The sequence below is a fragment of the Homo sapiens genome, chromosome 15 (assembly GCF_000001405.40).
Source record: "Homo sapiens chromosome 15, GRCh38.p14 Primary Assembly".
Classification (NCBI taxonomy): Eukaryota; Metazoa; Chordata; class Mammalia; order Primates; family Hominidae; genus Homo; species Homo sapiens.
The window spans coordinates 69102654-69130217 of NC_000015.10; the positions used below are offsets into that span (position 1 = coordinate 69102654).

The following is a 27564-nucleotide window of genomic DNA, read 5'->3' on the forward strand; positions in this document are numbered from 1 at the left end:
GTCTCTGGTGAGGGTCAGAGGGCAATGCCTCTAAATCACTGAGTTCGGGACCTGGCCCATGGTGCCCAGTCATTGTTGTTGGCTTCTGTGACTTATTCACTCTGCTGTCCCTCTCAATAAGCTTTTGTTGAATGAAAAATGTAATAGGTCTCAAACCATGCTGCCATTTTCTCCCCAAACTATTTTTCCCCTGGCTCCAGTGTTCTCATGGCACTGGAGGCTCTGATTCATCCCATCGCCCTGACCATGTCTCCCATCAGCCCCAGGCCCTGCTTCCCTCTTCAGGCAGGACCTCTTGGCACCCCTTCCTTTCTGATTCCACTTAGTAGCTTGAGGCTCTGTGGTCTTCTCTGTGCAGCTCACCATGGCCAGAACAGATCTGTCTAGATATTGGCTTGACCATGTCATGCCTCTGGCTCAGATACCCCTCATGGATCCTCATCACCCCCTAATAAAGTCCAAACCCTTGTCTTGACATTTAAGGCCTTCCATAATCCAGCCCTACCTCACGCATGTATCATACTTAAAGGTTATACCTAGTAGCCCCATGGACATCCTTCATGCCCTCAAATTATTGTGCTTTGCTTGTGCTGGGCCTGCTACATGAAATGCCCTCCCATCATTATGTCTGTATAAAGCCTGCTCACCATTCAAATGCCAGCTCCAATGCTACTTCCTCCATCCCTCATTGCCCATACTAAAAGGGACTGCTGCCCCTTTATGATCTAAAACTATCCTCTTTAAAAAACAAACAAACAACAAACAAAAAACTCACTTGTGACCCTTTATCACATGTTAACCTGAATTGTGACTATCTTTATTCACCTTTGATCTATGTGGGATGGGAGCCATTCCATACCAGTAGGTTAAGAATCTAGGCTTCGGAATCAGGAAACCCTGGGATTGTAATCCTATTCCCTCCTGTTAACTAGTTCAGTGACCTTGGGCAAGTCTCTTAACATTTTTGAACCTCAACTTCTCATTCACAATGAGGGGAGCCTGATAGGGTTATGGCGAGAAGTACATGAGATAATCACATGTGTTGAATGCCTTGCACAGAATGTGGCGGATATAATAGTTATTATAATTACAATAAGAATAGTTATCATTGCTAGGTTGAAGTCTCCTAGAGGAGGGTGCCTCAACTTTAGTGTGCACACAAATCACCTGGGGATCTGGTTAAAATCCAATGTGATTCAGGAGGTCTGGGGTGGGCCTGAGATTCTGCATTTCCAACAAGCTCCCAGGTGGTGCTGATGCTGCTGGTCCAAGGATTACACTTGGAATAGCAAAGTCCTAAAGAGCAAGGCTCATGTCTAGTGTAGCAATATCTCTCTTGCAGGATCTAGCATGGTTTCCTGCACAGAGTAGGGACACCACCATTTTTTTAAATGAATGCATCGTCTTGATGATGGTAGGGATGGTATTGCACATAGCCTTCTTTGCTCGGAAGATCACACACACACTGCATACACACACCAGCTAATCTAACCTTGCATAGGACTGAGATTTCCCAGGGGCCCAACTGCTGTGTTTCAGAAATCAGAGCTCTGAGATGGAACCGGCTGTGCACTAACCTTATAGCCCTGATTAATTCCCTCCCTTTGTTTGCCTCATTATCATGATTAGGTTCTGCCCGTAGCATAGCAACGGCTAATTGTAGGCTGGTTGCAGAGTGCATAATTCCTGCTATTAAAATTTTATCGAGGCTTAATTGTGCTCCTTTTTGCTGCGGCGAAGCTTCAAAGTTTCAGAAGAGAGGGGATGTGGTTAGTGGGAACTGATGATGTTTTAATCTTAGCAAGCCCTGTAAAACCCTACTCTGCAATATCATTGACCTTGAGATGGTTTCCTGTGGCCAGAAAGAAGCCCATCATTTATTTATTAACCCACCAGAAGGTCTGCAAACATCCCCTGTGGCCAGGCGGAAAGCATATTATAGGTCAAATGCCATTACAGAAAGCCCCAAAGGGCTGGAAGACCAAAGAGTGTGGCCGTGTGGGCATTAGGGTGGGGGAGGTTCGGTGGGGAGAGCTGCACTTTGCACGTGGAAGTGGGTCAGTGTGCAAAAAGTTGTGTCACTCCTTAGACACCCAGTGGCCTCTCAGTGGACCTCCAAAACCTGCAGTAGAATTGACAGGCTTTCAAGGCATTTTCCAGGAACACACCAAATTGCCCAACTTGTGCTTAGTGGGAGGTGGAAAGAAGTGAACCCATTAGCAGGTACTTTCCACAAATGGTTTCCAAACCCAACTGATCACTAGTATTACCTGGGGAGTTTGTTAGAGCTGCACATTTCCAGGCTCCAGCCCAGACCTACGGATTCAGAGTAGGGAGGGAGGCTGGAAGTCACTCCTCAGGTGGCGCACTTATGCTGAGCCACTTTGGGAATCCCTTACCTGTGGAAAGAAGGGGCTTCGGCAATGTAAAAAAGACAGCAGAACGAGCTGCTTCTTGGGGAGGGGTCCACCTACTCAGCTTAGCTCAAACTGGAGCCACAAGGCCTAATGATATGAGATGGCTCTAAGTCAGTGCTTTTCAAATAGAAGTGTGCATCAGAATGCCCTGGAGAACTTGCTAAAACACAGGTTGCTGGGCCCTACTCCCCACAGTCTCTAATTCCTTAGGTCAAGGGTAGGGCCTAAGACTTTGCATTTCTAACAAGCTTGCAGGTGGTGCTGCTCTAAGGACCACACTTTGAGAACCATCGCCTTTGGTGATTCTCCAAATCTGAAATCTGGACCAAATGTGACTCTTTGAAAAGGACTCAGTTGTGTTTCTCAGTCCTCGCATTACAACACTGCTCTACGTGAAGACTCCATCCTTGTGTCTTGAGCATCTTTCTATAATCCAGAAACAGTGGCATTTGTCATCAATCAAGCTTTGACTTGAGATATTATGAAGGCGGAGTAGAGCCTGGGGTTTTGTTTTTAAACACAGTTAAATGCAGATAAATCCACTGCCATTTTACCCTTATTAAGTAAAGCAAGGATTTTAAAAGGACATGGGATTTCAGGCACCACTTAAACAAAGGGCAAAGCATTATTTGATGAGCTGGCCTCAAGCTGGGAAAGGCTTTAGATAATACACAATGATAGAATTATGGTGAGTGGAGAATAACAATAAGCACATTTGATGGAGAGGAGATGAATTGTGGTGAATTGTGGGTGCGGGGAATGGTGAAAGGGAGAAAATTCAGAGTAAGTGTAAAGAAGGGGTTGTAACTCAAAGGCTAGGCAGATCACAGAAATGCATCAGGCAGACAAGCCAGACCACCATTAAAACCCATGGCTCCAATCTGAATGAGACTATATGGAATGGTGAGGACTGTGGTAAACTGGACAGTCCTGGGCCCTCTAACAAGCGGAGGCCTCAAGTCAGCTCTTGCCAGTTGTTGCCATGAAAGAATGTGGGCCCAGGAGTGCTTGCCCTTCCTTATTTTCAAAAGAAGCTTGGAATGTGGATTCTAAGATAAAATTTCCCTATTTTAAAAACCTTTGCCCCAATCATAACATGCCTGTAGGCTATCAGTTTACAATAATAGTTTAGAAGTTTTAAATCCTAATTCATAGGGATGTTATTTTGGAACTGGGAATAGACCAATATTTTTTCCCTTTTTTTTAAGGAGGGAAGGGCAGGTAGTTTATAAGGAGAGGGAAAAAAAATGAGTAAGATGGGGAAGGAGGATGAAATCATGGAAAACATGGTGGAAAAGACTTCACTACTCAGGCGGAGCTTGGAGGTTTACACAGTGCTCTCTTCTCCTCTGTATAAAGAATATATCACTCTGCAACATCCCTGGTGTACCACACTATTAGTTTGGTGACCATTGTGGAGTCCCCTCTCGCAATGACTGGGCTTGGCCAGCAGGACATTAGCAGGTATGATGCCCGCAAAGCTTGTCAAAGACTTGCACCCTGAAATGCACGCTGTTGGACATCTCACTTGGGATCCAGCTGCTGTGTGGAAATGCCATGAGGAAACGTATGGAGGAAAGAGAGGTCCCAGCCTTTCAACTATACCTGTCAAAGTGCCAGGCATGTGGCTGGGCACGGTGGCTCATGCCTGTAATCCCAGCACTTTGGGAGGGGCCAAGGCAGGCGGATCACCTGAGGTCAGGAGTTCGAGACCAGCCTGACCAACATGGAGAAACCCCATCTCTAGTAAAAATACAAAATTAGCCGGGCATGATGGCGCATGCCTGTAATCCCAGCTACTCAGCTGAGGCAGGAGAATCGCTTGAACCTGGGAGGTGGAGGTTGCGGTGAGCCGAGATCGCACCATTGCCCTCCAGCCTGGGTGACAAGAGTGAAACTCCATGTCAAAAAAAAAAAAAAAAAAAAAAAAGGTGCCAGGCATGTGAGCAAAGCCAGCTTGGATCCTGGTTGTAACTACATGACAACCCAAGAGAGACCAGCAGAAGAATTCTCTAGCCCAGCCTCAGTCAACCCATAGAATCATCATAATAAAAAGATTGCCTTAAGTCCCTAAGCTTTGGTGTTAAGCAGTGAAAACTAACAGAAACACTTAGTACGTAGCTGGCCTATGAATCAGATAGGATCTTGTTTGGTTAGACGTAACAGAACACCTGATAAATAGTGACTTGAGCAAGTAAGAGGCTTATTCTCAGGCAACAAGAAGTCTGCTTTTGTTTCATTGGTCAGAACCAGCTGCACCAAGGGGGACTGAGGAAGTGTGATTAACTGGGCACATTGGTATTCTGAACAAAACAGGGTTTTTGACTAGTAAGGAAGAGGGAGGAATAGGTGTATATTTTGCAGTGTCTGCCACAGCCGTCTTACTAAAAAAAGAACAAACGTGTTTCTCTCATGATTTTTCCCTTCTGTACCAAATTTAGTCATAAAACCACAAGCCCAGCAACCCATACAGCCAGCACACATTTATCCCATGTTTGAAGGAAGAGGTCTCATCTTGATTTAATGGCTCAGCATTTTGTATTTGTCTGCCTGCTTCTTCCAGGTTCATTTCATAAAGAGCTGATTGATCTTGAACTTGATGCAGCCCATTGATACCATCACTACTAATAAAAGGTTTCAGGGCAATCAACTTTAAATTGGAAGCAATGGAGATGAGCAAACATTTTCAAATGAGCATATCTTCTGCAAAACTTAGCAGACTTCCAGGATGGTTGGTACAAGAGAAGAGGTCATAGAAGAAGCTAAATATAAAGTTTGCAGTTCTCATAGTTAGCCTGTGGCCATTTCAAGAGTTAGAAGCGCCTTGGCGGGAGTGGGGGGAGAAGCAATAAAAGAAAATGAGATTGAAATTCACTCATTTTCTTTCTTTTTAGCAACTTCTTGGAGAGAGGAAAAGGAGATGAATGAGACATAATATCACAGAACTTAGACTTGGCAATGCTCTCAGAGATGAATTATCCAGCCTTTCACTGAATTGCAAATAATAGTAGCTAGAATTTATTGAGTGTTTATCACATGCTAAGTGTTATGCAAAATAATTTACTGGCAATCTTTGATTTTACCTGCACCCCATCTCTAAAGGGTAGTATGATTTTAATGTCCACTTTACAGACATCAAGTTAAATAACTTGTTCAAGGCCATGGTAAATAAATGGGGGTACCAGATTTCCTGGCTATGTGTATTGCCTCTCCTTACTTCTTTTGACCCCATCCCATAACAATCTCTGCTCACCTCTTCCAGGTCTCCATTCCTCTAGACAACTCATTCCTATTTGAAAAACCCATCCTATTAAGTTGAAGTCCGCTTTTCTGAATCTCTCATCATCTGGTCTACCCTCTGGAGCAACACAGGCTGATTCCTCTGACCTACGATAGTCCTTCCAATAATGCATCCTCTGAGCTTTTTCTTCTCTATGCTAAACGTCTACAGCCATACTAACCGTTCCCTTCTTAAATGCTGTGTTTCTTCTTCTATGTGTACTGTATTCAAGGACCGCAAATTCAAAGTTCTACAGACACCAGGATAGTAATGAAAACAAATAGAGCAGGGTAGGTATGGTAAAATCATATGGCTGCCTCACTCTTTCATTCTCCCACTTTTCTTAGAGACATGGATATAGAGATGCTTTCCTCTACAAACCCAGTGATAAAAGGCAACGAGCACTCAACCTTGCTACTGTGGGACAAGAGGGAGTGGTGAGCACTTTGGCAAACTGGCAGCAGATGCTTGATCTAAAGGACACAGGTGCTACTCAGAGCCTGCCAGGTGTTTATAGTAAAGGAGGGTGACAGCTTCTCTGAGCTTTTCCAAAGCTACTGGAACTCTGGGTTTTCATTTGAAAACTTTTCATCTTTATCAGATTTTTTTTCAATTTTTCATTTTTTTACAGTATCGTGTGGCCGAAACAATATTCTACAGGCTGGATCCAGCTCCTGGGCTGCTGTTTGACAACTGATGTTGCTGGTCACCAGCTGGACTCACTCCCCTGATGAAGTCTAAGGCCAGTGGAACTCACCCTTCACTAAACCTACACACCACGCTTCTAGGAATGCAGACTAAATTTGCAATCATTTTTCCAGCAGTTGTGTCATATTATACTTTAAATTCACACGAAACTGGTGGCTAAGGACCTGCAAGTCTTCATGTGAGTGTTGTCCAGCCTGACCTCTCAAACCATCTTGTGCAATGATACGTTGAACCTACCTGCATGGCTTTGCATTTATCTCTGTTGGTCCCCATTCTGTCTTACAGAGTTTGTGCTATTTTTCCCCAACCTGCTTTTGGCACAGCTTTGAACATTACTTCTTACATGAAATCACCAGCTGGATTCAGTAACTCAGTGAAGTCTGACAAGTCCTAAAGGCATTAATACAATTTTTGATTAAGCCTGGACAACATAGTGAGACCCTGATCTCTACAAAAACATTTTTTTAAAATTAGCAGGGCAGAGTGGCACGTGCCTGTAGTCCCAGCTACTCGAGAAGCTGAGGTGGGAGGATCACCTGAGCCCAGAAGTTTGAGGCTACAGTGAGCTATGATCATGCCACTGCACTCCAGCCTGGGCAACAGAGCTAAAACCTAGTCTCAAAAAAACTTGGCTAGAAATGTGATGCTCCAAGGTACCCCAAATGTCACCAATGCACTAATGAACACCCCTTGCCTTCAGAGTAAAAAGAAACTAGCCTATGTTCAGCACCTGCCACGAGCTCAAGACTGCCCAGTTCCCTCATTCTCACTTCCCATCTAATGCAGAGACCCTTCCAGCAGCTCTGCCCCAGTGACCAAGGAAGAAACCCCAGGCTGTCCTCCAGATAAGTCTGAAATCTCCACTCTGGTCTGGAATTCCAAGAATGATTCCTGATTGAACTGTATATTTGGTTCTAGGTCTCAGGTTCACCCCTGGGTATAGGCCCACACTCTGCAGCCCCAGGATCACTGGCCCCTGCCCAGTGTCCAGCCCAGGCAGCTAGCCATTTGCCTGTGGTCTGAGACAGCTCCTGCTTGTCCAGGAGGATATACACTGTGCCAGGCACTGTCCATGGCACTGCAACATTCATTGTTTCACTTAATGATGAACCCATTTACACATTTACTTCCACTGCCATCTGGCCCACGTTTTTCAGTTGAGCCTTTGATTTATCAAGGAACTTGTATCATTGATGCTCTTCCTGCCTCCCTGTTATTGTAACTGAGAGCAGAGCACCAAGCTGTTTAGCAGCTTGCATAAAGACAGCAGCACATGCTCACTCAAATTCCCTCCCTTTTTTGAGCTCTTTGTGCCTCATTATTTTCATTGATAAATGAGGTTGTTGTGAGGGGCCCATTAGTAGATATTAGGCAGTTGTAACAGAACTGGGTATGTAGTGGGCACTCATGAATGTTAGCTTGAAGGAGAAGCAGTTGAAGAACTAGTCATGGTCATCTCCTGGACTAGCCCCCAGTAGCCAGAGGGAACACCTCTTTATAAGGAAATGTCACCAATCTCCTACCATCAACAAGCTCAGCAGCAGGCACTCCAAGTTGTTTTTCTGTCAAAGGGAAAGATTTGGTTCAAGCCATCTGTGTGGCCCAATGGATGGCCAATGGAAGACCCAGCATGGTCAATTACCTTACCCTGTGGCTTTGGATCAATTGCTTAACCTCTCTGGGCCCAAGTTCTTCATCCACAAAAAGGAAATACTAATATATAGCTTACAGAATTATGGTGAGAGCCAAATGAGATTGAGAGTAAAACACCTGGCACATAGTAGGCACTTGATATAGTAATGATGATAGTGGTGATGATGAAAATACCCAGACACATGTATTGTCAGTGAATCTTCCCAGTGAGCAAAAGCAGCCTTCCTTTTTTTGTCCTGTCAGATTTGCAAAAATTAAATTACAAACTTATTGCATGGTCATTATTTTTAAAAGCAAACACAATACAGGCATTTATAAACTAAAATAAAAGTTGGAGTCCTCCTCACTCCCATTCTACTCTTCAGAAAGAGCCACGTTAACTGTTCGGTTCATGCCCTTGCTGATGTTTTCCTACACAAACACACACACACACACACACAATTTTAAAGCAACATTGGGATCATACTATGCATATTGTTCTGCACCTTGCTTCTTTCTCAAAGCAGGTGTCATGGCCACTTTTCCAAGTGAGAGTACATGGAGCTAATCCATTGCTATGGGCTGAATTGTGTCCCACCCACAAATTCAGATGTTGAAGCCCTAATCCCACAGTACTTTAGCATGCAACTCTGTGTGGAAATAGGACCTTTAAAGAGGTAATTAAGTTAAAATGGGATTATTAGGGTGGACCCTAATCCAGTATGACCAATGTCCATATAAGAAAAGGAGATCAGGACCGGGTGCAGTGGCTCACACCTGTAATCCCAGCACTTTAGGAGGCTGAGGCAGGTGATCACTTGAGGTCAGGAGTTCAAGACCAGCCTGGACAACATGGCGAAACCCCATCTCTACTAAAATTACAAAAAATTAGCTGGGCGTGGTGGCAGGCACCCGTAATCACAACTACTCAGGAGGCTGAGGCAGGAGAATTGCTTGAACCCGGGAGGTGTAGGTTGCAGTGAGCCGAGATCATGCCACTACACTCCAGCCTGGGTGACAGAGCAAGACTCTGCCTCAAAAAAAAGAGAGGAGATCAGGACACAAATAGAAAGAAACACCAGACATGCCCACACAGAAGATGACTATGTGAAGACACAGTGGGAAGGCTGCCATATGCAAGCCAAGGAGAGGGCCCTCAGAGGAAACCAACCCTGCTGATACCTTGATCTTGGACTTGTAGACTCCAGAGCTGTGAGGAAGTAAATTTCTGATGTGTATGCCACCCAGTTTATGGTATTTGTTATGGCATCCCTAGCAAGCAAATGCATCCATCCTTTCTTAAGAACCAGAGTATTCCATTTTATAGATGGTACATAAAATGTGTTGTGGACTCTTATGTTTTTTCCAGTTTTATGCTTATTACTAAGAGTGCTTCAAGTAATATCTTTGCAATATACTTTGTGTACATATGTGAGGATATTTGTAGGTTCTGTTCCCATACAAGGAATGACTGGGTTGGAGGATATGCACATTTTAAATGATGTATGAATTTACTGTACCAATGAAAACTCCAGTAGTGCAGGCAAATTCCTGCCTTTCTATACCCACCAAAGCATAATTTCAAGGACTTATATTCTGTGGCCATTAAAATATAATGAAATTGACAATCCAAAAAAGTCTGACACTCTTGACCTTGGCTTTGCTCATACTGACCACCGCTGCCTATGCCAGGACCTTGGCCCCATCAGCCACCTGCGAGAACATACAACCTTCCTAAACAGAGAAAGCTCTCACCAGACTCTTCACTGTGAAGGCAAACTTGATAACAACAAATGCCCATGCTTCAAATAGAAGCATTGATTTTCATTTTTTAAGAGTATAAATAGATTTGAATCACACATAGTATATTGGATTTGGGAAGAAAATATTTCATGACAACCTGCCAATATATTTGTTTTCTTATCTTTCAACAAATAAGAATGGAGATTAAAGACTGCTGAAGTGAAGAGAAGCTGACAATGCCACTCAGAATGGCCATTCTGATACGCATTGAAATTTCGGAAATGTAGGCTCTAGAAAATATATATATATATTTAAAATTGTTAACTGTAGCACTACTTTAGCTCCATCATAAGCTTCTTTTCACCCTTCCTCCTTATTCCCCTGACACAAGTCATGTTTTTCTCAAGACTGACATAATCAATAATCTCTCCAAAAGAGATTCCTGGATCTCAAATCCCGGAAATATGGGCGGGGGGTGATATTGTGTTTCTGTTTTCTCTTTGCTGAAAGAACAAAAACAAAAAAAATAATGATAGTTGATCCATGAATAAAGTACAAATGTGGCCTATTGTCTTAAAGGTACAGGGACCCAATCCACCCCCATGCTGTGAAAGTGACCCCAATGGCTATGGATCATTCTCATCCCCTGAATCTTGGGGCTATGTCTGTTGGTCCAATATGTCCTACAAACTAAATAGGCAGTGGAAATTTAAGTAAATAGTATTCATTAACATTGTGATCATGTGTGGCATTTTCTATTACTAAATGATCCTAGTACACAGATTATTCACTTAAATAATCAATCACTGTCAACAAATTACAGGATGCAGAGAATGAAATTAGCAAAATGAACTATGAATGTAAAATTCATTTGAAATTCAATTTAGTGACAACGTTAGCTTTCAATTAGTCTGCCCAACTGTTTGAATGTCTTCCTTTTGCATTGATTTTTAAAAAAATGTAATTAACCTTTTTACTGTTAAATTGCTGTTGGGTGCAACAATATCATTGTTACATGGCTCCTATTGCTGGGGAGTGAAAGGATTAAATGATGAGTCAGGATGAGGGCAGTGGAGTGGGGCTTCTCCTCATGACTGAAGGGCTGGGGAATAAGAGGAGCCCAGGAGCGGGAAATGGATGTTGTTTGAGCTGAGGCTTCCCCCACGGGTGTCCGGTATTGCTGCTATTGTCTCTAGATTCTTGGAGAAACCTTCTCAAGACCATCTCCTGCTCCAGATTTCTTGCTCCCTATTTCACACAAAATGGTTTGTATTCTACATTTCCTGTCAACTTCCCAGAAAACTCGGCCCCTTCTCTCACTACCTTATTTCCTTTCGTGATTCTCTGACACCTTTTATTCAATTGGTCTGGCTGGAGAGCTGGAGTGTCCCATCAGACTCCAGCTCCTTCTCAGCTCCCACAGACAGTGCCACCTCTTCAAGTCTTCTTCCAGTCGAACTCGGCCACTCTCTTCCTGCTTGTGTCTGTGGTGGCCACAGTGGTCTGGGTCCTCATCGCCACTTGCTTTGTTGCAGCATTGCATTGTGGCAACCTCACCTCTACCCCACAATCCACCCTGCACACTTCTGCCAAGCTTTAACAGAGCACTCCCAGACTCAAGACCCCGCCGCCGCTCCCTGCTGCCTCTGCGACTGAGCCCAAGCCTCCCTTCAAAGGCCACCCCTCACCACCTGTGGGGCGTGGGCTCCCCCACTTCCTCTGCCTCTGTGCCCCTCGAGTACAGGTTGCCCACTTCAAATTAGCCTCCTCCTTAGCCCAAAACGTGTTGTGCACTTTCCTGCCCTCACACCTTTGTTCTTGCCAGCTTCTCACCTGGAAAGAAAACACCTTCCATTTCTCTTTCTTAGTAAAATCCTTCTTACCCAATGCCCAGCTCAAACCTCACATCTGCCAGGAAGCCTTCCCTGCCACACCCCAGGCTCCAGTGATCCGTCAGCTTCAAACGGTTCAAGAACTTATTGCCTGGGACATTCCTTTTGATCTTTAATAACACGCTTTGTGATTTTCCTCTGCACTCTCAGCTGAATTGTACATTCTTTGAAGGTAGGGACACGCCTTGTGGTTCCTGCTTCTTGCCGACAGTCTTGCTTAATGGGCAATGGCTTTTCTAAGCCTTTTTTGAAAAAGGACGGCACCAATCTCTCTCATCTACTGTGTTCAGGACTGTCTTGAGGGGGACAGCTCAGCTGTGGTGAGAACCAGGAAGCCTATGCATTGGAGCAGGGTGTGGTGGGTGGGCTGGCCGGGGTTACGGTGAGGCAGGCAGCCTCAAGGAGCAATTACAACATGTGGACACGGTAAAACTGTCTCTTGTCAGCTGCACTGGCTGAGATAATCTTGGTTCTGAACCACATCCCTGCCTGTTCCAGATCACCCATTATCTCTCCAGAGCTGCCGCCACTGCTGGGAGACACAGGAGTGTTTAGCTGTGCCAGGGGTCTGCAGATAGAGGCAGTTTCTTATCCCGTCTTCACGAGGAGCTGCAGGGAAATAAGTCACACTTAGACATTAAGAGGCCTCCATCCTTCAGCAGCCTGGCAGCAGAATTCTTTATGGGTCTGAGGAGAATCTCCATGAATTATTGGGATTCATCCCTAAGAACCCCATGGGGATGTGGCCCGGATGTTGAACCTGTTCCTTCTTAGGTCTGAGAATAGAAAGAAACAGCCTCACTCCTCTCTGAGCGGTAGCTCCCTTCCCTTAGCTTCCAAAAGCCAACTCAGTTCTCCTTGGTACTAGCTAGCTGCCATTTATGAAGCCATCGTTTGTGTGCCAGGAGCCATGCCAAGTGCGTCACATATTTTATCTCGTCGAATTTTCATAGCACCCTACAAAGAAAAGTTCTCATTTTAGAGATGGGATTCCTTAGGCTGGGGGCAGTTAGCAAACACAGCTGGTCAGCAGAGCTGAGTCCAGATTTCCTCTTTCTTTTTTTGAGACAGGGTCTCTCTCTGTTGCCCCGGCTGGAAGTGCAGTGGCATGAACACAGCCCACTGCAGCCTTGACTTCTTGGGTTTACTTGATCTTCCCACCTCAGCCTCCTAAGTAGCCAGGACTACAGGCACATGCCACCATGCCCAGCTAATTTTTTAATTTTTTTGTAGAGGTAGGGTCTCATCATGTTGCCCAGGCATGGTAGCCTGAACTACATCCCTGACTGTTACAGACCACCCCATTACTTCTTCAGAGCTGTCGCCACTGCTGGAAGACACAAAGAATGGGCAGCCGCTCCAAAGGCGAACTCGTGGGCTCAAACAATCCTCCTGCCTTGGGCTCCCAAAGTGCTGGGATTACAGGCGTGAGCCACTGCGCCTGGGCCAGATCCCCTCTTTCAACCACCACACAACCTGCCTCCTAACCCAACAGGTCCAGAATCCCATCTCCTCTGGGAAGGCCCCCACCTTCAGGTTGCCTAAATCATGGGATTGCTGCCAACATCCATCACTCGTTTCTTTCTGGCCTGTTATAAAATGATGGCATCAGGTGCTTCTCCTGACATGTGGGCTATGAAAATGTGTGGATCCGGGATCACCATGCCATGTTTCCCATGAACTAAGTATTTGGGCAGGAATCAGGTTGTCCACCTCCAAGCCTGGCTGGCTAGACTCTCTTCAGGGTGTCAAGACTTAAAATGAGGGTCTAGGTGGGTTTTAGGTCATTGTGGGTGCTGTGTTGCCTTTCCCCCATCCCATATACTCTTTGGGATACCTTTGAGATAAAGTCAGCAGGGCAAGCTCTTCCCAGTCCCTTTCTTGGATTTAAGTTCTGGCTTCACACATGCTGGGTGCCTTAGTAAAGGACTTAAACTCTTTGTGCCTCAGTTTTCTCCTCTGTAGAATAAAGACAGCCTATTACATTATCTGAGAAGCAAATGAGATAAAGAATATTAAACATCTAACACAATATCTAGCATACTGTGGGTTTTCCACAAATGTTTGTTTCTTTCAGATCCCAAAGAAATAACCATGAGTATAACTGGAACTGGAGAATAAAGTCTGAACAACACACACACCTCAGACTGCATGCCCAACCTCCAGGTGAGCAGGACCCAGGCCCCTCTATCAGCTCTTAGCTCATTTTCCTATTACTAGAGCTCTTACTCAGGCTCAGGGTAGACAGCGCCCTTCCTAAGGAGGCAGAGAGACAAATGGGAGAGGGAAGCAAGACTAGCCCCACCCACTATGCTTCTGCCTTTAAGGACACCGCGGAGGTTGCCTCTCCCCTCCTCCTCAGCTCACTTTGCGTACATCTTACACTAGTACAGACAACTTTGTGGAGGTTTGCAGAGAAATGGAGCAGTAATTGAAGGGAGTAGTGGAGTCAAGGGAGGGCTCTTTAAAGATGGGAGGTGTTATTTAACACATTTAATGATCAAATAGAAAAATTAGTGGAAGAGCAAAGGATGCTTCCACTGAATCTGGTTTGGCCATTTTATCTGGCCTCCTTTCATCCCCCTTGAATTTTAGGCTAAAGTTCTCTTTACCATGTCAGTGACTCCCTTCTTATACTCAGTAGAAGCTGTTCATCCGGTGGAAAAAACTTTGGAATGTGGGTTCAAATCCTGGTTCTGCCCATTATTGGCTGGGTAGCCTCTCTGGGCCTCTATTTCCTCACCATTAAATTGAAATAATAATGCTTTCCTCTTGAATTTGGTGTGAGGATTAAAGGAGTCATGTTTGGCCTGGCCCAGCACTTAGTGGGAGCTCAAAAATGGTCATTGTTGTTGCTACCATTATTTTATTGAAAAGGTTCTTCCAAGTCTTTGTGATATGCACCAAGTCCCTTGTGAGGAGCCAACCATAAACTACAGTCCTCAACACTAATATGTGGGCTCTTATTAGCATGAACAGTGGCTGGGACTTGAGTTTTCACGGTTGTTCTGACAGAGCCCTCCTTACCTAACTCTTTGCATACCTGCCTGGGTTTGCCACTCTCTGTAGGATAGTGTTCCTGGGAACTCCGCATGAGCCTGATGCTGCCTCTTGCACCCTGAATGTGTCAGACAGGGAGGCAGCTTCCCCATCCTGGGCGGGGTGCTGCGAGATGAGCAGTCACTCTGCCTTTTAACCCCCTCCCTGTTCCGTGTTGATGACTGGGCAGGTGGGGGCAGTTGCTGTGAGTGGACGCATCTGCTGTGGCTTGTCAGCCTGTGTCAGACTCGACCCTGAGGGCAGATAGGGTCCCAGCTAATGAAAAGCCTAGAGCCACAGCCTCTGGGGTAGCTCCGCAGCTGCTGTCTCTGTTTTCTTTTTCCTTTTCCTTTGTGCTTGGCAGTTCTGGCCCTCGGCACAGCAAGACCAGCACTAGAGACACAAGCACTGAGGTTCCCTTCTCCAAAGATCAAGTTACAGAACACATTCTCTGGCTCACCTTGAAGAACAAAGACTTGAGAAAAGCAGCCTGCCTGGGGATGAGGAGGCGGCTGCCTGCTTGATGTAATTTCAGGGTCTCTGGAAAAATCTCTTGAGCTCCAAATATTTTCCTGCTATAAACCTGAGAATGCCATCATTGGAGACTCAATCTTTTTACATTTGGAGCAGTGGTTCTCAAAGTGAGGTCTGTCTCTGCCCCATCCCATCCCCAGCAGCATCTGCATGACTTGGGAGTTTATTAGAAATGCAAATTCTTGGGCCCCCACCGCAGACCCCCTGAATCAGAATCTGGAGGAGGGAGTATCTGTGTTTAACTGGCCCTGTGGGTGATTCTGACGCCTTAGTAACCCCACAGAAGGGCACGTCACCCAGGAGGGGGGTACTCATCAGCATTATAGCTCTGATTTACTGCTCAGCTTGATGGACTGTGAGGAGGTGCAGAAAGGGACAGGGACAGGGGAGGGGAGGGAATGTCTTGTCTGGTGTAGAGCAGTCAGACAACCTGGCATCGACTCCTAGCTCCTCCTTCTCCCTCTGTGGCCCTGGGCAAATTACTTCATCTTTTCAGCTTTCCTTTGCTCCACTGCAAAATTCAGCTTGTGCAACCAACTCACAGGGCTGAAGATGAAATGAGATATAGAAAGTACTTTGCACATAATAGGCGCTTAAAGAGTGAGCAGTTGCTCTCTCCAACTCACCCCTACATCCTCTCTGATAGAGAAGAGGTCTATGCTGATTGGCATATGGTAGAAGGGAAGGTACCAGAGGTGGGGATTCATGTATCATAAAGGCATGGACCAGGAAAGAAAGGGGCTAGAAGTGGATGAGATGTCAAGACACAGAAAGGGGAGGAGAAATGAGAATAAGGAGCTCCCCTAGACTCAACTCATCTGGTTTCTTCCATTTTGCAGGGGGTGGTCCTAAGACCAGGGTCTCATAACCTGTGGCCCAGTCTCACCACCACCCTTTCCAGATGGTGGGTAGGGCTGATTCTTTGCTTACCTTCCTCCTACCTCATTCTAACCTTTTCAGGTGCATGACTTAAAGGTCTGAAGTTTCCCTGCAGGGAGATGACTGGTGGAAATATGCAAATGGTGAGCTTTATGGCAACTCAGGATCTTTAGGGTTAAGAAGAGAGCTGACAGTTGGTACAGAGGCCACCATGGTGACCTGACCCTTGCTCAGACACAGCCAACAGGCAGGAAGCAGAGAGCGTCTTAAGAGAAGGAGAAACAGATGTGTGTGCCCCAGAACAGCATGCTTCCCTTTCTTTTAAAGCCTTCACATGATGTCTTGAGCCTTTGATGGCAGAGCAAATTAAGATCTCAGTCTCACTAGGAAGGCTCACATCATATGGCTCTGGGGCAATTCTACCCCCATTTCCCTATCTCTCCATTGCCAGGAATTTCAGAGTCAGTGTTTCATCATTTATGTAAGGGCTTAATCCCTATGAGAATTTTCATCTCCATTAAGCTGTGTTCTGGGCTTGGGTTAGTCAGTCTGGATTCAAATCCCAGCTCTACCATTTGTTAGTTGTTATATTCTGGGTTAAATATTTAAACTCTTCGAGCCTCACTTTCTGCCTTTGTAAAATAGGGACAGCGTTTTATACACACACACACGCACAGACACACATATACATATATATGCTCGTTATTTCAAGGGTTAAACATGTACAGTGCTATTTGGATTTCTTATGAATATATTTCTTTAAAGCTACAAAAAGAGTGGGAGGAGTAAAGACTGAAGGGAATGGTTGAGATCGGGGATGGCTAATAGGTCTCACCTACGAATGTGGGTGGATTCAGAGGTGCCCCAGGTACACTGCATTGTCAGTTTGTGAAGAATCCCAAGGCAGCTGACTGCAGTCTTGGCAGACAGCATGTGACAGTGTGGAAATGTCTGCTCCAATGTGGGCAGGGTCCTGAAAGCATGTGCAAGCCACATTTGCCATCTCTGCTCTAGTTGCTTCCTGCCTGAAGGCAAAAAGACAGGCTGTGACTCTTGCAATTACCTGAGTAGAATTATAGAAGCCATTACCTGGGATCTTCAAAGGCTCCCACAGAGAGAGTAACTTAGCCTCTTAATTGAACACAGCCTCCCAGTATCATTCTGGAACGTTGGAGCTGTCCCCAGTCACAAGGCACAGCCTTCTTAATCTGATAATAGTGTACTCTCCAGGAGGGAGAAGAGAACTCCCTCTGTAGTAGCACCAGACACAGTGCAGTGACACACTGTGAACCAGAAAGATCTTGAAGATGGTTTCATCAGGGTGGGGTGAGTGTTGGGAACCCAGGGGTGGGTGGGACTTAAAGGAATCGAGCACCCCAGGGGAGCCTGAGCTCTAACTCCGTGGCTATTTTGGATATCAATTGCTGCTTTTGTGTGTTTCCCAGCTGGACGTCTGTGAGGCTTGCAGGTGTTTTACATTATTAATCAGCTAGATCTTTTTTCTTCCTAATAATCTAGCCTCCTTCCATACCTGTGAAAGCCCTTTGAAAAACAGGCAGCAGTGCATACATTCAGTGTTTAATGGAAGGGGCAGGGCAGGGCCCACGTTTCCATTAAGCACAGCAGGCTTTGTGCCTGGGGCCCATAGGACTTTCAGGGGCCATGAATTTGTTTTAATTGTGGTTTCTTTTAAAATCAGAAGAAAAAAATGAATATAATAATAATGATATAGAAGAATAAATCCAGCCTACATTATACTTGTCTTTGTACCAATGCAATCATAAAATATAACTTTTAATATTTTGTTATGGCAGAAGGGGCCCCCAAAGGCAAAAGTGCCTAGGGCTGAGGGAAGTCATAATGCAGTCAGTCCTAAGCATGGGATTGGAAAAGATTTGAATGGGGTCTGAAGACAAAGCTGCGGTTCTACCTCAGGCCCTACTGACCCCATGACTTTGGGCAAATCATCCATTTGGGGTTGCAGTTTTCTCTGTGGTCCAGTGTCCTACAACTGCAGGAGAGGACTGAGTTCTTCCCTCCCCTCCTTTTCTCAGTCCTAGGCTCTAAGGAGATAATAGCTGTAAAGTGCTTGAACATGTGTAAACATGCAACAGGTATAATAAAGGTCAGAATCTTCAGAATCCTTATTATCTGGAGGGAAGATGGAGACCCGTATACTCCAGGAATGGATGGCTCCAGAGCGGGGGTGAATGTTGCCATGACACACTAACATCTACCAGGCAACCACCATCTGTCCCATTCCTAAGAAAAAAATCAGTTAGGAAGAGGCTGGATGAGTGAACTGGGCCTTTGGGGGGTTACGGGGGCTCCAGGGAAACTGGAGCCTTCAGAGAATCACACAGCTCTGGCCAGAGTGCTGAGCAGGCTTCTAGAATGACCCGGGGGAGGGAGGGAGAGGGGGGCCAGAGAGACACTAGGTGTGAGAGACATGGCCAACCTGCATGACCAGGAGCTTGTTCTACTCAGTGAGTACCTAAGCTGAGTTGAAGAACTGAAACAATCTGGAAATTAAGGGACTTTTCAAAAATAGGCTATGGGAGAGTTAGGGAATAGGACAAAGGAAAGTTTGATTATAATCTGCTGGTCTGCGGTGTGATGCAACTGCCTCCATCTCCCCAAGGCATCGCCATAAAATGAACATCACCACAGCTCTTGGGAGTTGAGTTCATGTTTTGGAGATGCCGCTAACAGCCAGCAAGTCTGGCATGTGTGCTGATAACCCACCTGCCTCATGCTCTTCCGCTTCCTCCTTCTTTACTTCTCTTCTCCTTCCCTCCTCTCTCCCTTCAATTTCCCTTTCCCTTTTTTCTCCCCCTCTGGCCTTTCCTCTTTCTCCTCTTCCCCTCTCCCTCTCTCCCTCCTTTCCCTCTTTCTCTCTCTCTCACCTTCCCTCTCCCCTTCCCTCTCTTTTCCTCTTCTTCCTCTTCACCTCTGGAAAGTGGAGAAAAGTGCGTCCATTGGAGGTTTCCCAACTGTGGGGACCCCAAGCTCACAGGGTTTGGAAGCCTCCTGAGGACAGCTGCATCACCATCCATCATCTTTTTGATGAATGGAGCTCTAAATGGCTTAGTCTGACTGTGATGCAACCCAGATTTTGCCAGTGGCATCAGTGATTTAAATATCATTGCTTTTCTTTTCCTTGTGCTTCTATAGGATGGACTAGGTGTAGAGCAATGGAGGCAGTGCTTTCCCTCAGTCTGCGAGGACTGGGATCTAGGTGGCCATCCCCACCCAGCTGTGGAGCAGTCAGACAGCGGGACCCTACCCTGCCAGCCTACAGGGGAGGGACAGCAGGCTGAGGCCTGCCAATACCAGCACCTTCATCTGTAGGGACAAACCAAGGACCTGGCCTGGCCTCAGAAAGAAAACTCCTGACCCCTACTCTGCCCATGCTGCTGGGAGAGAAAAAGAAGGGAGTGGTCTAGAAAGAGGAAAACAGGCTGGGCGCAGTGGCTCACCGCTGTAATCCCAGCACTTTGGGAGGCTGAGGCAGGCAGATCACTTGAGGGCAGGAGTTCGAAACCAGCCTGGCCGACATGGTAAAAGCCTGTCTCTACTAAAAATACAAAAATTGGCTGGGCATGGTGGCAGGTGCCTATAATCCCAGCTACTCGGGAGGCTGAGGCAGGAGAATCGCTTGAACCCGGGAGGCAGAGGTCATGGTGAGCCAAGATGGCACCACTGCACTCCACCCTGGGCCATAGAGCAAGACTCTATCTCACAAAAAGAAAAAGAAAAGAAAAGAAAGGAAAAGAAAAGAAAAGGAAAGGAAAGGAAATCTAAGACTAGGGTGGAGTGGTGGGCTGGATAAAAGAAAGGGCTGGCCGAGCCCTCTCTACCTCTCAGACCTCCCCACCCCAGACCTCAAAGCTGCCGTAATTAAGAATCAAAGAAATGCACCTTCAAATAATCGAAGACCATTTTTTAACCTTATCAGATGGGCAAAATAGTAAAAGGTTTTGAAGAGTTGGCTACTAAACAGGTGCTCTCAAATCCTACTGGAAAAAAATCACACCAACTTTCTGAAGACACAATTTGGAAATACATAACCCAAAATATATTCTCGGACCCAGCAATTCCACTTTTGAGAATTTATCCTAAGAAATCACACATGCCATTCAGAATTACCCACCAAAATAATACCAGAATTATTACAACTAAAATTGTAATTTTGGTTATAATAGTGAAAAGTTTGAGACTTAGAGAAGTGGTTAACTAAATTGTGGTACATTTGGCCAGGTGTAGTGGCTCATGTTTGTAATCCCAGCACTTTGAGAGGCTGAGGCGGGTGGATCTCTTGAGGCCAGGAGTTTTAAACCAGCCTGGGAAACATGGTGAAACTCCGTCTCTACTGGAAAAAAAAAAAAAAAAAAATTAGCCAGCCATGGTGGTGCACGCCTGTAATCCCAGCTACTCTGGAGGCTTAGGCACAAGGATGGCTTGAACCCAGGAGGTGGAGGTTGCAGTGGGCCGAGATTGCACCACTGCACTCCAGTCTGAGTGACAGAGCAAGATTCAGTCTCAAAGAAAAAAAAAGTGGTACATTTATTCAATGAAATTCTGAATGCTAGTTAAAAATGATTATAGATATGGATTTACTGACATGGAAGATGTTCATGATATACTGCTAAAGTGAAAAAAGCTGGTTTCTGAACATTACCTATGTTATGATCCTAACACAGGATAAGGAAAAGAAAAAAAGAAAAGAGAAAAGAAATAAGCATATCAGTTATCTGTTGCTGTATAACAAATTACCCCCAAACTTTTCACCTTAAAATAACAAATGTTACCTTATAGTTTCTGTGAGTCAGGAATTCAGAAGTGGCTTCTGGCTCATGGACCGTCCTGAGGTCGTCGTTAAAATGTCAGCTGTGGCTGCAGTCTCCTGAAGCTTGCCTGGGCTGGAGGGGCTGCTTCCAAGATGGCTCACTCACATGGCTGCGGGCAGGAGGCCTCAGTTTCTCACCACATGGACCTCTTGGTAGAACTACGTGAGTATTCTTGGGGCTTGGCAGCTGGCTTCCCGTAGAGCCAGTGATCCCAGAAAACAAGACAAAGATTGCAATGTCTTCCGTGACCTAGCCTCAGAAGTCACACTCTATCACTTCTGCAATATTTGATTCTATTGATTATACAAATTGGCCCTACTCAGTGTGGGAGGGGACTATACCACAGCATGAATACTAGGAGCCAGGGATCCTTGAGGGTCATCTTGGAGGCTGTCTACTGGAATGTTTGTATTCATTCCTTCAATAAACAGTGTTTGAGCACCTACCAAGCAAGCATCAGATCCTCATGGTACCCTACTCGGGGTACATCCATAAAAAGAGAGACAAGATCCCTCTTCTCCTGGAGATTACCTTCCAGGGCAGTGGGAGGGGAGAGACACTAAAGAGGTAAGAATTGTAAACAGCGGTCAGTAACTGAAGGGTAGCATGAGGAAGGTGATGTCAGAGGAGCAGGCAGGGGCTGGGTGACAAGGAACCTTGCAGGCCATGCAGAGAGTTTAGATGTTATCCTAAGGATGATAGGGAGCCACTGAAGAGTCTCAAGCAGAACAACGACGTGATCTGAGTTATATGTTTAAAAGATCACTATGGCTCAATGTGGAGAATGAATTCAGGGACAAATGTTGAAATAGAGGCCAGTTTGGAGTTTATAAAAGTACTCTAGTGGCCATGGCTTGGATGACTACACAAGCAATCCTGGTGGCCATATATTTATATCTCACAACCATGCTCATATTTTATATATATATATATAAACCAGCCTGGGAAACATGGTGAAACTCCGTCTCTACTGGAAAAAAAAAAAAAATTAGCCAGCCATGGTGGTGCACACCTGTAATCCCAGCTACTCTGGAGGCTTAGGCACAAGGATGGCTTGAACCCAGGAGGTGGAGGTTGCAGTGGGCCGAGATCGCACCACTGCACTCCAGTCTGAGTGACAGAGCAAGATTCAGTCTCAAAGAAAAAAAAAAGTGGTACATTTATTCAATGAAATTCTGAATGCTAGTTAAAAATGATTATAGATATGGATTTACTGACATGGAAGATGTTCATGATATACTGCTTAAGTGAAAAAAGCTGGTTTCTGAACATTATCTATGTTATGATCCTAACACAGGATAAGGAAAAGAAAAAAAGAAAAGAAAAAAGAAATAAGCATATCAGTTATCTGTTGCTGTATAACAAATATATATATATATATAGTTTTTCTTTTTATTCTCCCACCCGTTGCCTAGCAGAGTGCTGGGCACATGGTAAGCAGGTGGGAGGCCAAGTGAACACAGAGTATTGGATTGTTCGTTGAGAGACCATGTCCACTTTCACTGTGTGACAGTCACTCCCATTCTGTGCCTCAGTTTCCTCATTCATAAAATGTAGCAAGTGAATGAAGCCAGTGATATGCCATTTTTTCTTTTTCCTTTTCTTCGATTAGAATCAGCACCCTAATAGATAAACCAGATGAAAGAGAGTGCAGTGGCAGAAGCAGAAGGAGCCTCAGCCTCCTCCTTCTCCTCTGGCTGCATGATTTGAAGCCCGTTGAAAGGACTCCCCGCTGACCCTTCTGTCCTTGAATGCTCCACATGCCATGCATTTCATAAACAGTCAGGACCAGCCAATTGTTTTAATTTCTGCCAGGCCTTTCCTGCCGCCACGTTGAAATGCTCTGTTCCATGTCCCTCCACCTGGCGGTATCTGGACATTCCATTGCACTCCGTTTTTTGCACACGGGGCTGCCCAGCTTGGGAATACTGCACTGTCCCCCAAGGGGAGGGAGGCCCAGCACCTGGGCACTGCTGATGAGTTTTCACTCATATTTAATACGAGACTTGGGGCGCCCTAGGGAGGAAGAAGCTGCTTTGAGATCCCCCTCATAAGCTCTCCGATGAGTGGCTGCCTTTCCCTGAGCTCCTTGGATGAAAACTGTCAGGGGAGATTTCCTGGCTCAAATCCTTTACTCCCTCCACGACTGTGGCCCAGACACTCCCACACCCTCTCAGCAACCCTGATATCGTTTTCTTCCCAACCCAGTATTGCACTTGCTAGCCATGGACTTCAGGGTAATCTCACCCATCTGAGCCTTGGCACCCTCATCTCTAAATCGCGGATATCAACACCTACTATTCAGCCCGTCCACATCCGTGTAGGTATTCCAGTTGCTACAGTATTCAAATACATCCATACTGGTTGGTGAAAAGCCAGGACTCTAAGCCCCTGGGTTTCCCTCACCCCAAACACTCCAGCTTCCCCCTCTGAGGCCCACAGACATCCACAGAATCAGCAGCCTACAGGTCATGCCTGACCCGGGAGGAACCTGCAGATCCAGCTCTAGTGCTATAACCAAGGTCAGTTCTGACAGGTTGGTGTCTAGGCCTCACTGGTTGTTAAATACTGTAGTATTACCCTTGACCATGGTGATGCAAGATTACGTACATGAGGCACCCAGCACTTCAGTTCCTGGAACACCAGAGGAAGAATAACTTTCATAATCCTCATACTTCACAGCATGGGGCCTCCCATGTTTGTTTTCCTGTTAAAGTCCAGCTGCGATTTATCCTCCTTCACCTTTCCATTTCACCCCTTGTTTCCTTTACTGAGAGCTGAGATATTGAGGTTGGGACCTGGTTTGTGTGTGCTTTCTAAATGTTCTTAGGTTTCCATGTGGTTTTATGCCTATTTTGTTTGTGGGCTGACTTCAGAAGTGGTAAGGTGAAAAGAGGTGAGCCCATTTTGTAAAGAAGTGAGCGGTGCAGGAGGGGCTATTCCTAGCCATTTGTCTACACTGGCGCACACACAGCCCTGGGGTTCATCCCCCATTGTACGTTAAGCAGTCAAAACTGGCTGGCCCATTTCACAGAAGCCCACCCTGCAGACTGAGAGAATCAGCTCTTTATTTGACTTGCTGAGCACTGTGGCCAAGTACACACTTTGAAGTTATATACTCCATGCTTCTCGGTGCCTGTCGCTGGCTGAATGGTGGGCCCTAAAAGGTATGTCCATGTCCTAACCCCCAGGACCTATTAATGTGACCTTATTTGGAAGCAGGTTCTTTGCAGATGTTATTAAGTTTAGGATCTCAAGATAAGGTCATCCTGGATTTTTTTTGTGGGCCCTAAATCCAATAACTGTTACCATTAAAAGAGAAACACAGGGCCCAGCATGGTGGCTCACCCCTGAAATCCCAACACTTTGGGAGGCCAAGGAGGGCGGATCACTTGAGCTCAGGAGTTCGAGAGCAGCCTGGGCGACATGGTGAAACCCCATCTGTACAAAAAAAAAGAAAAGCAAAAATTAGCCAGGCATGGTGGTGTGTGCCTGCAGTTCCAGCTACTTGGGAGGCTGAGTTGAGAGGACCACCTGAGCCTGGGAGTCAGAGGTTGCAGTGAGGCAGAGGTTGCACCACTGCACTTCAGCCTGGGTAATAGAGCTAGATAGACCCTGTCTCAAAAAAAAAAAAAAAAAAAGAAAAGAAAAGAAAAAGGAAAAAAGAAAAGAAAGAAAGAAAAGAAAAGTAGGAAAGACACAGAGAAAAGGCCATGTGCTAATGGAGGCTGAGATTGGAATAGCACAGCTACAAGGAATGCTGACAGCTGCTAGAAGCTAGAAGAGGCAAGGAAGTATTTACCCCTAGAGCCTCCAGAGGAAATGTGCCCTCTGGACACCTAGATTTCAGACTTCTGGCTTTTAGAGCTGTGAGAGAATCAATTTTTGTTGTTTTAAGTCACCAAGATTGTAGTAATTTGTTACATCAGCCACAGAAAACTAATACAGAGCCTAACATGCTTATTGGCTCAGACTCAGTAAACAAGGATGAGTTAGGATACAGGAGCCGCTGCTACAGCAAAGACCCCAGATAGCAATAGACAGCTTAAACACAATGGAAGTTTATTTCTATCTCATGTAAGAGTCTGAGCATAAGCAGTGAGGGCTGATAAGGTGGCTCCCAGGTGTCAGGGACCTGGCCTCCACCGTCACCTCAAATGAAGGTCAACCTTGTGGTTGACTGATTTAATATAGCAACCTGCCCCTCCCCTGCCCCCTGCACTGTATCTGTGCCCCAGCTCTTTCTTTTTCCCCATAGCACATCTTTTAATGTACAATATAGGTTGTTTGTATCATGTTTATTGTTTATTATATGTCTCCACCTGTTGGGCTGTAAACTCCACTGGGGCAGGGATTTTTGTCTTGCTTATTCACTAGTGTATCCCAAGTGCCTAGAATAGTTCCAGGCAAATGCCTGATGTGCAATAATAATTTTTTTTTTGCTTTGAGATGCTGAGGAGGGAAGATAGCTTGAGGCAAGGAGTTTGAGACCAGCCTGGGTAACATAATGAGACCCCATTTAAAAATGTTTTAAAAAAACATTTCTTTTTAAAAATAAGGCCAGGCGCAGTGGCTCACGCCTGTAATCTCAGCACTTTGGGAGGCCGAGGCAGGCAGATCACCTGAGCTCAGGAGTTTGAGAGCAGCCTGGCCAACCACAGCCAACATGGTGAAACCCCGTCTCTACTAAAAATACAAAAATTAGCTGGGCTCAGTGGTGGGCACCTGTAATCCCAGCTACTGGGGAGGCTGAGGCAGGAGAATCACTTGAACCCAGGAGCCGGTTGCAGTGGGCCAAGATTGCACCATTGCACTCCAGCCTGGGTGAGAGACCGAGACTCTGCCTCAATAAATAAATAAATAAATAAATAAATAAATAAATAAATAAATAAAATTAAAAATTAGCCAAGTGTGGTGGCCCACACCTGTAGTTCCAGCTACTCAAGAGGCTTGAGCCCAGGAGCTCAAGGCTGTAGTGAGCTATAATCGTGCCACTGCACTCTAGCCTGGGTGAGCCAGACCCTCTCTCTCTTTCTCTCTCTCTTTTTCTCTCTCTCTGCCCCCCCTCCATTCCACCTCTATTTCCTAATCTGATCTCTGAGAGGGACAGGAAAAGGCAGAACCAGGTTCAGAGTCCAGGCCTGTGACTCTCTTACTACCTACTTCTTGCTAGATCTCCCCTGCCCCCTGAAGTGGATTCCACCCTGCAGCACAGCCCTTCTGACTAATGGGAGCAGGGCAGAGGGCCAGTGAGCCTCTTTTGACCCTGATCCAGGGCCAGAGAGCATTGGAAGCAGAAGAGAATCTGAATTTCCTCATCCAACAAAATGAAAATGCCAACTCTGAAATCAAAAGTGATGAGAAGTAGAAAACCAAGTCTCAGAGCTCCTTGTCTGTACAGGCCATTTGGCTGACTGGCTGGGCACACAATCAAGAGAGAGAGAGAGACACAGAAAGAGAGAAAGAGATTGATTGAATGAAGTTGTCTCACTACTTTTTGTACTGGCAGGCACAGGGCAAAGCCACAATGTAGCCCGCACTCTTTCCCTGTATGGCTATAACCCGGAAGCTGCAAACATTGTATCCACTCACATCTTGGTAGCCAAAATTAGTCACATGGTCACATTTGACTGCAAAGGACACAGGCTTTATTCTGAGTGCTATGTGACCAGGCAAGTTCAGCAAGTCTGCTAGTAAAGGAAATGGGGAGAATGGGTTTTGGAAGAAAAACTATGAGTCTCTAGTCAAAATGATGGTTGAATAAAGATTATGTATTTCTAATAAGCGCCTGGCGGAGTCCAATTCAGGGGGATAGGAGCACTGAAAAAAATCCACATCAATTTCACAATGTGTCTAAGACAAAATTCAGAAAGAATATTCAATGTATTCATTTTACAGCTGAGAAAACTGAGACTAGAGGGTGAAATGACTTGCCCAAGGACACCTAACCAGAGAGAAATCTCGCGTGTCTAATTCCACACTGAATCTTCTTCCCTTCTAAGCACACCCCTTCTCCTGAAGGATGCGGCCCGTGAGAAGGACAATACTTCAGTCCAGGGATTTTCAGCATGAGGACTTCCAGCATCCGCATCATCTGTGAACTTCTTAGAAATGCAAATTCTCAGGCTCCCACCTAGACAGGGGAGAGGGGGCAGCAATGTGCATTTTAACAGGAATCCAGGTGATTCCCATGCGCCCTAAAGTTTGCTTTAGGCAAAAGATTGAACCTCTAATGGGGCAATTTTCAGAACTCACGGCAGCTTTAGGGATGTTCTTTTCTGTGACTCCTCAAACAGCGTGTCATGCTCTGGGAGATCATTTAGGGGCTGGGCAAGCAGAGGGCTACTAAGATGAACAGAAGGAACTGAGGCCACACATAGGTGCCTTCTACTGGAGGAAGTAGTTACTGTGGAGCCAGGAAGGCCCATGGCTTAGGCCCAGAGCAGCACCTAGTCTCATTCCTTAGCAACTCAGACTTAGACCCTTTCTTAGCCAGTGGTTGGCTGGGCTGTTCAACAATGTCAGCCTCTTTTTCTTCCAGTTTCTACAAACCAGCTTCTTTTCCCTCTAGACAGTGTCTGAAGATTTTC

General features: G+C 45.7%; 3 annotated features.

Moving 5' to 3' along the window:
• Positions 13489–14463: an enhancer, noted in NCBI's record as "H3K27ac-H3K4me1 hESC enhancer chr15:69408482-69409456 (GRCh37/hg19 assembly coordinates)". NCBI's record gives its function as "activates a minimal SCP1, AML or CMV promoter by ChIP-STARR-seq in naive H9 embryonic stem cells {active_cell/tissue: H9 hESC(naive)}" and the evidence as "EXISTENCE:reporter gene assay evidence [ECO:0000049][PMID:30033119]".
• Positions 14464–15438: an enhancer, noted in NCBI's record as "NANOG-H3K27ac-H3K4me1 hESC enhancer chr15:69409457-69410430 (GRCh37/hg19 assembly coordinates)". NCBI's record gives its function as "activates a minimal SCP1, AML or CMV promoter by ChIP-STARR-seq in naive H9 embryonic stem cells {active_cell/tissue: H9 hESC(naive)}" and the evidence as "EXISTENCE:reporter gene assay evidence [ECO:0000049][PMID:30033119]".
• Positions 17008–17933: an enhancer, noted in NCBI's record as "OCT4-NANOG hESC enhancer chr15:69412000-69412925 (GRCh37/hg19 assembly coordinates)". NCBI's record gives its function as "activates a minimal SCP1, AML or CMV promoter by ChIP-STARR-seq in naive and primed H9 embryonic stem cells {active_cell/tissue: H9 hESC(naive and primed)}" and the evidence as "EXISTENCE:reporter gene assay evidence [ECO:0000049][PMID:30033119]".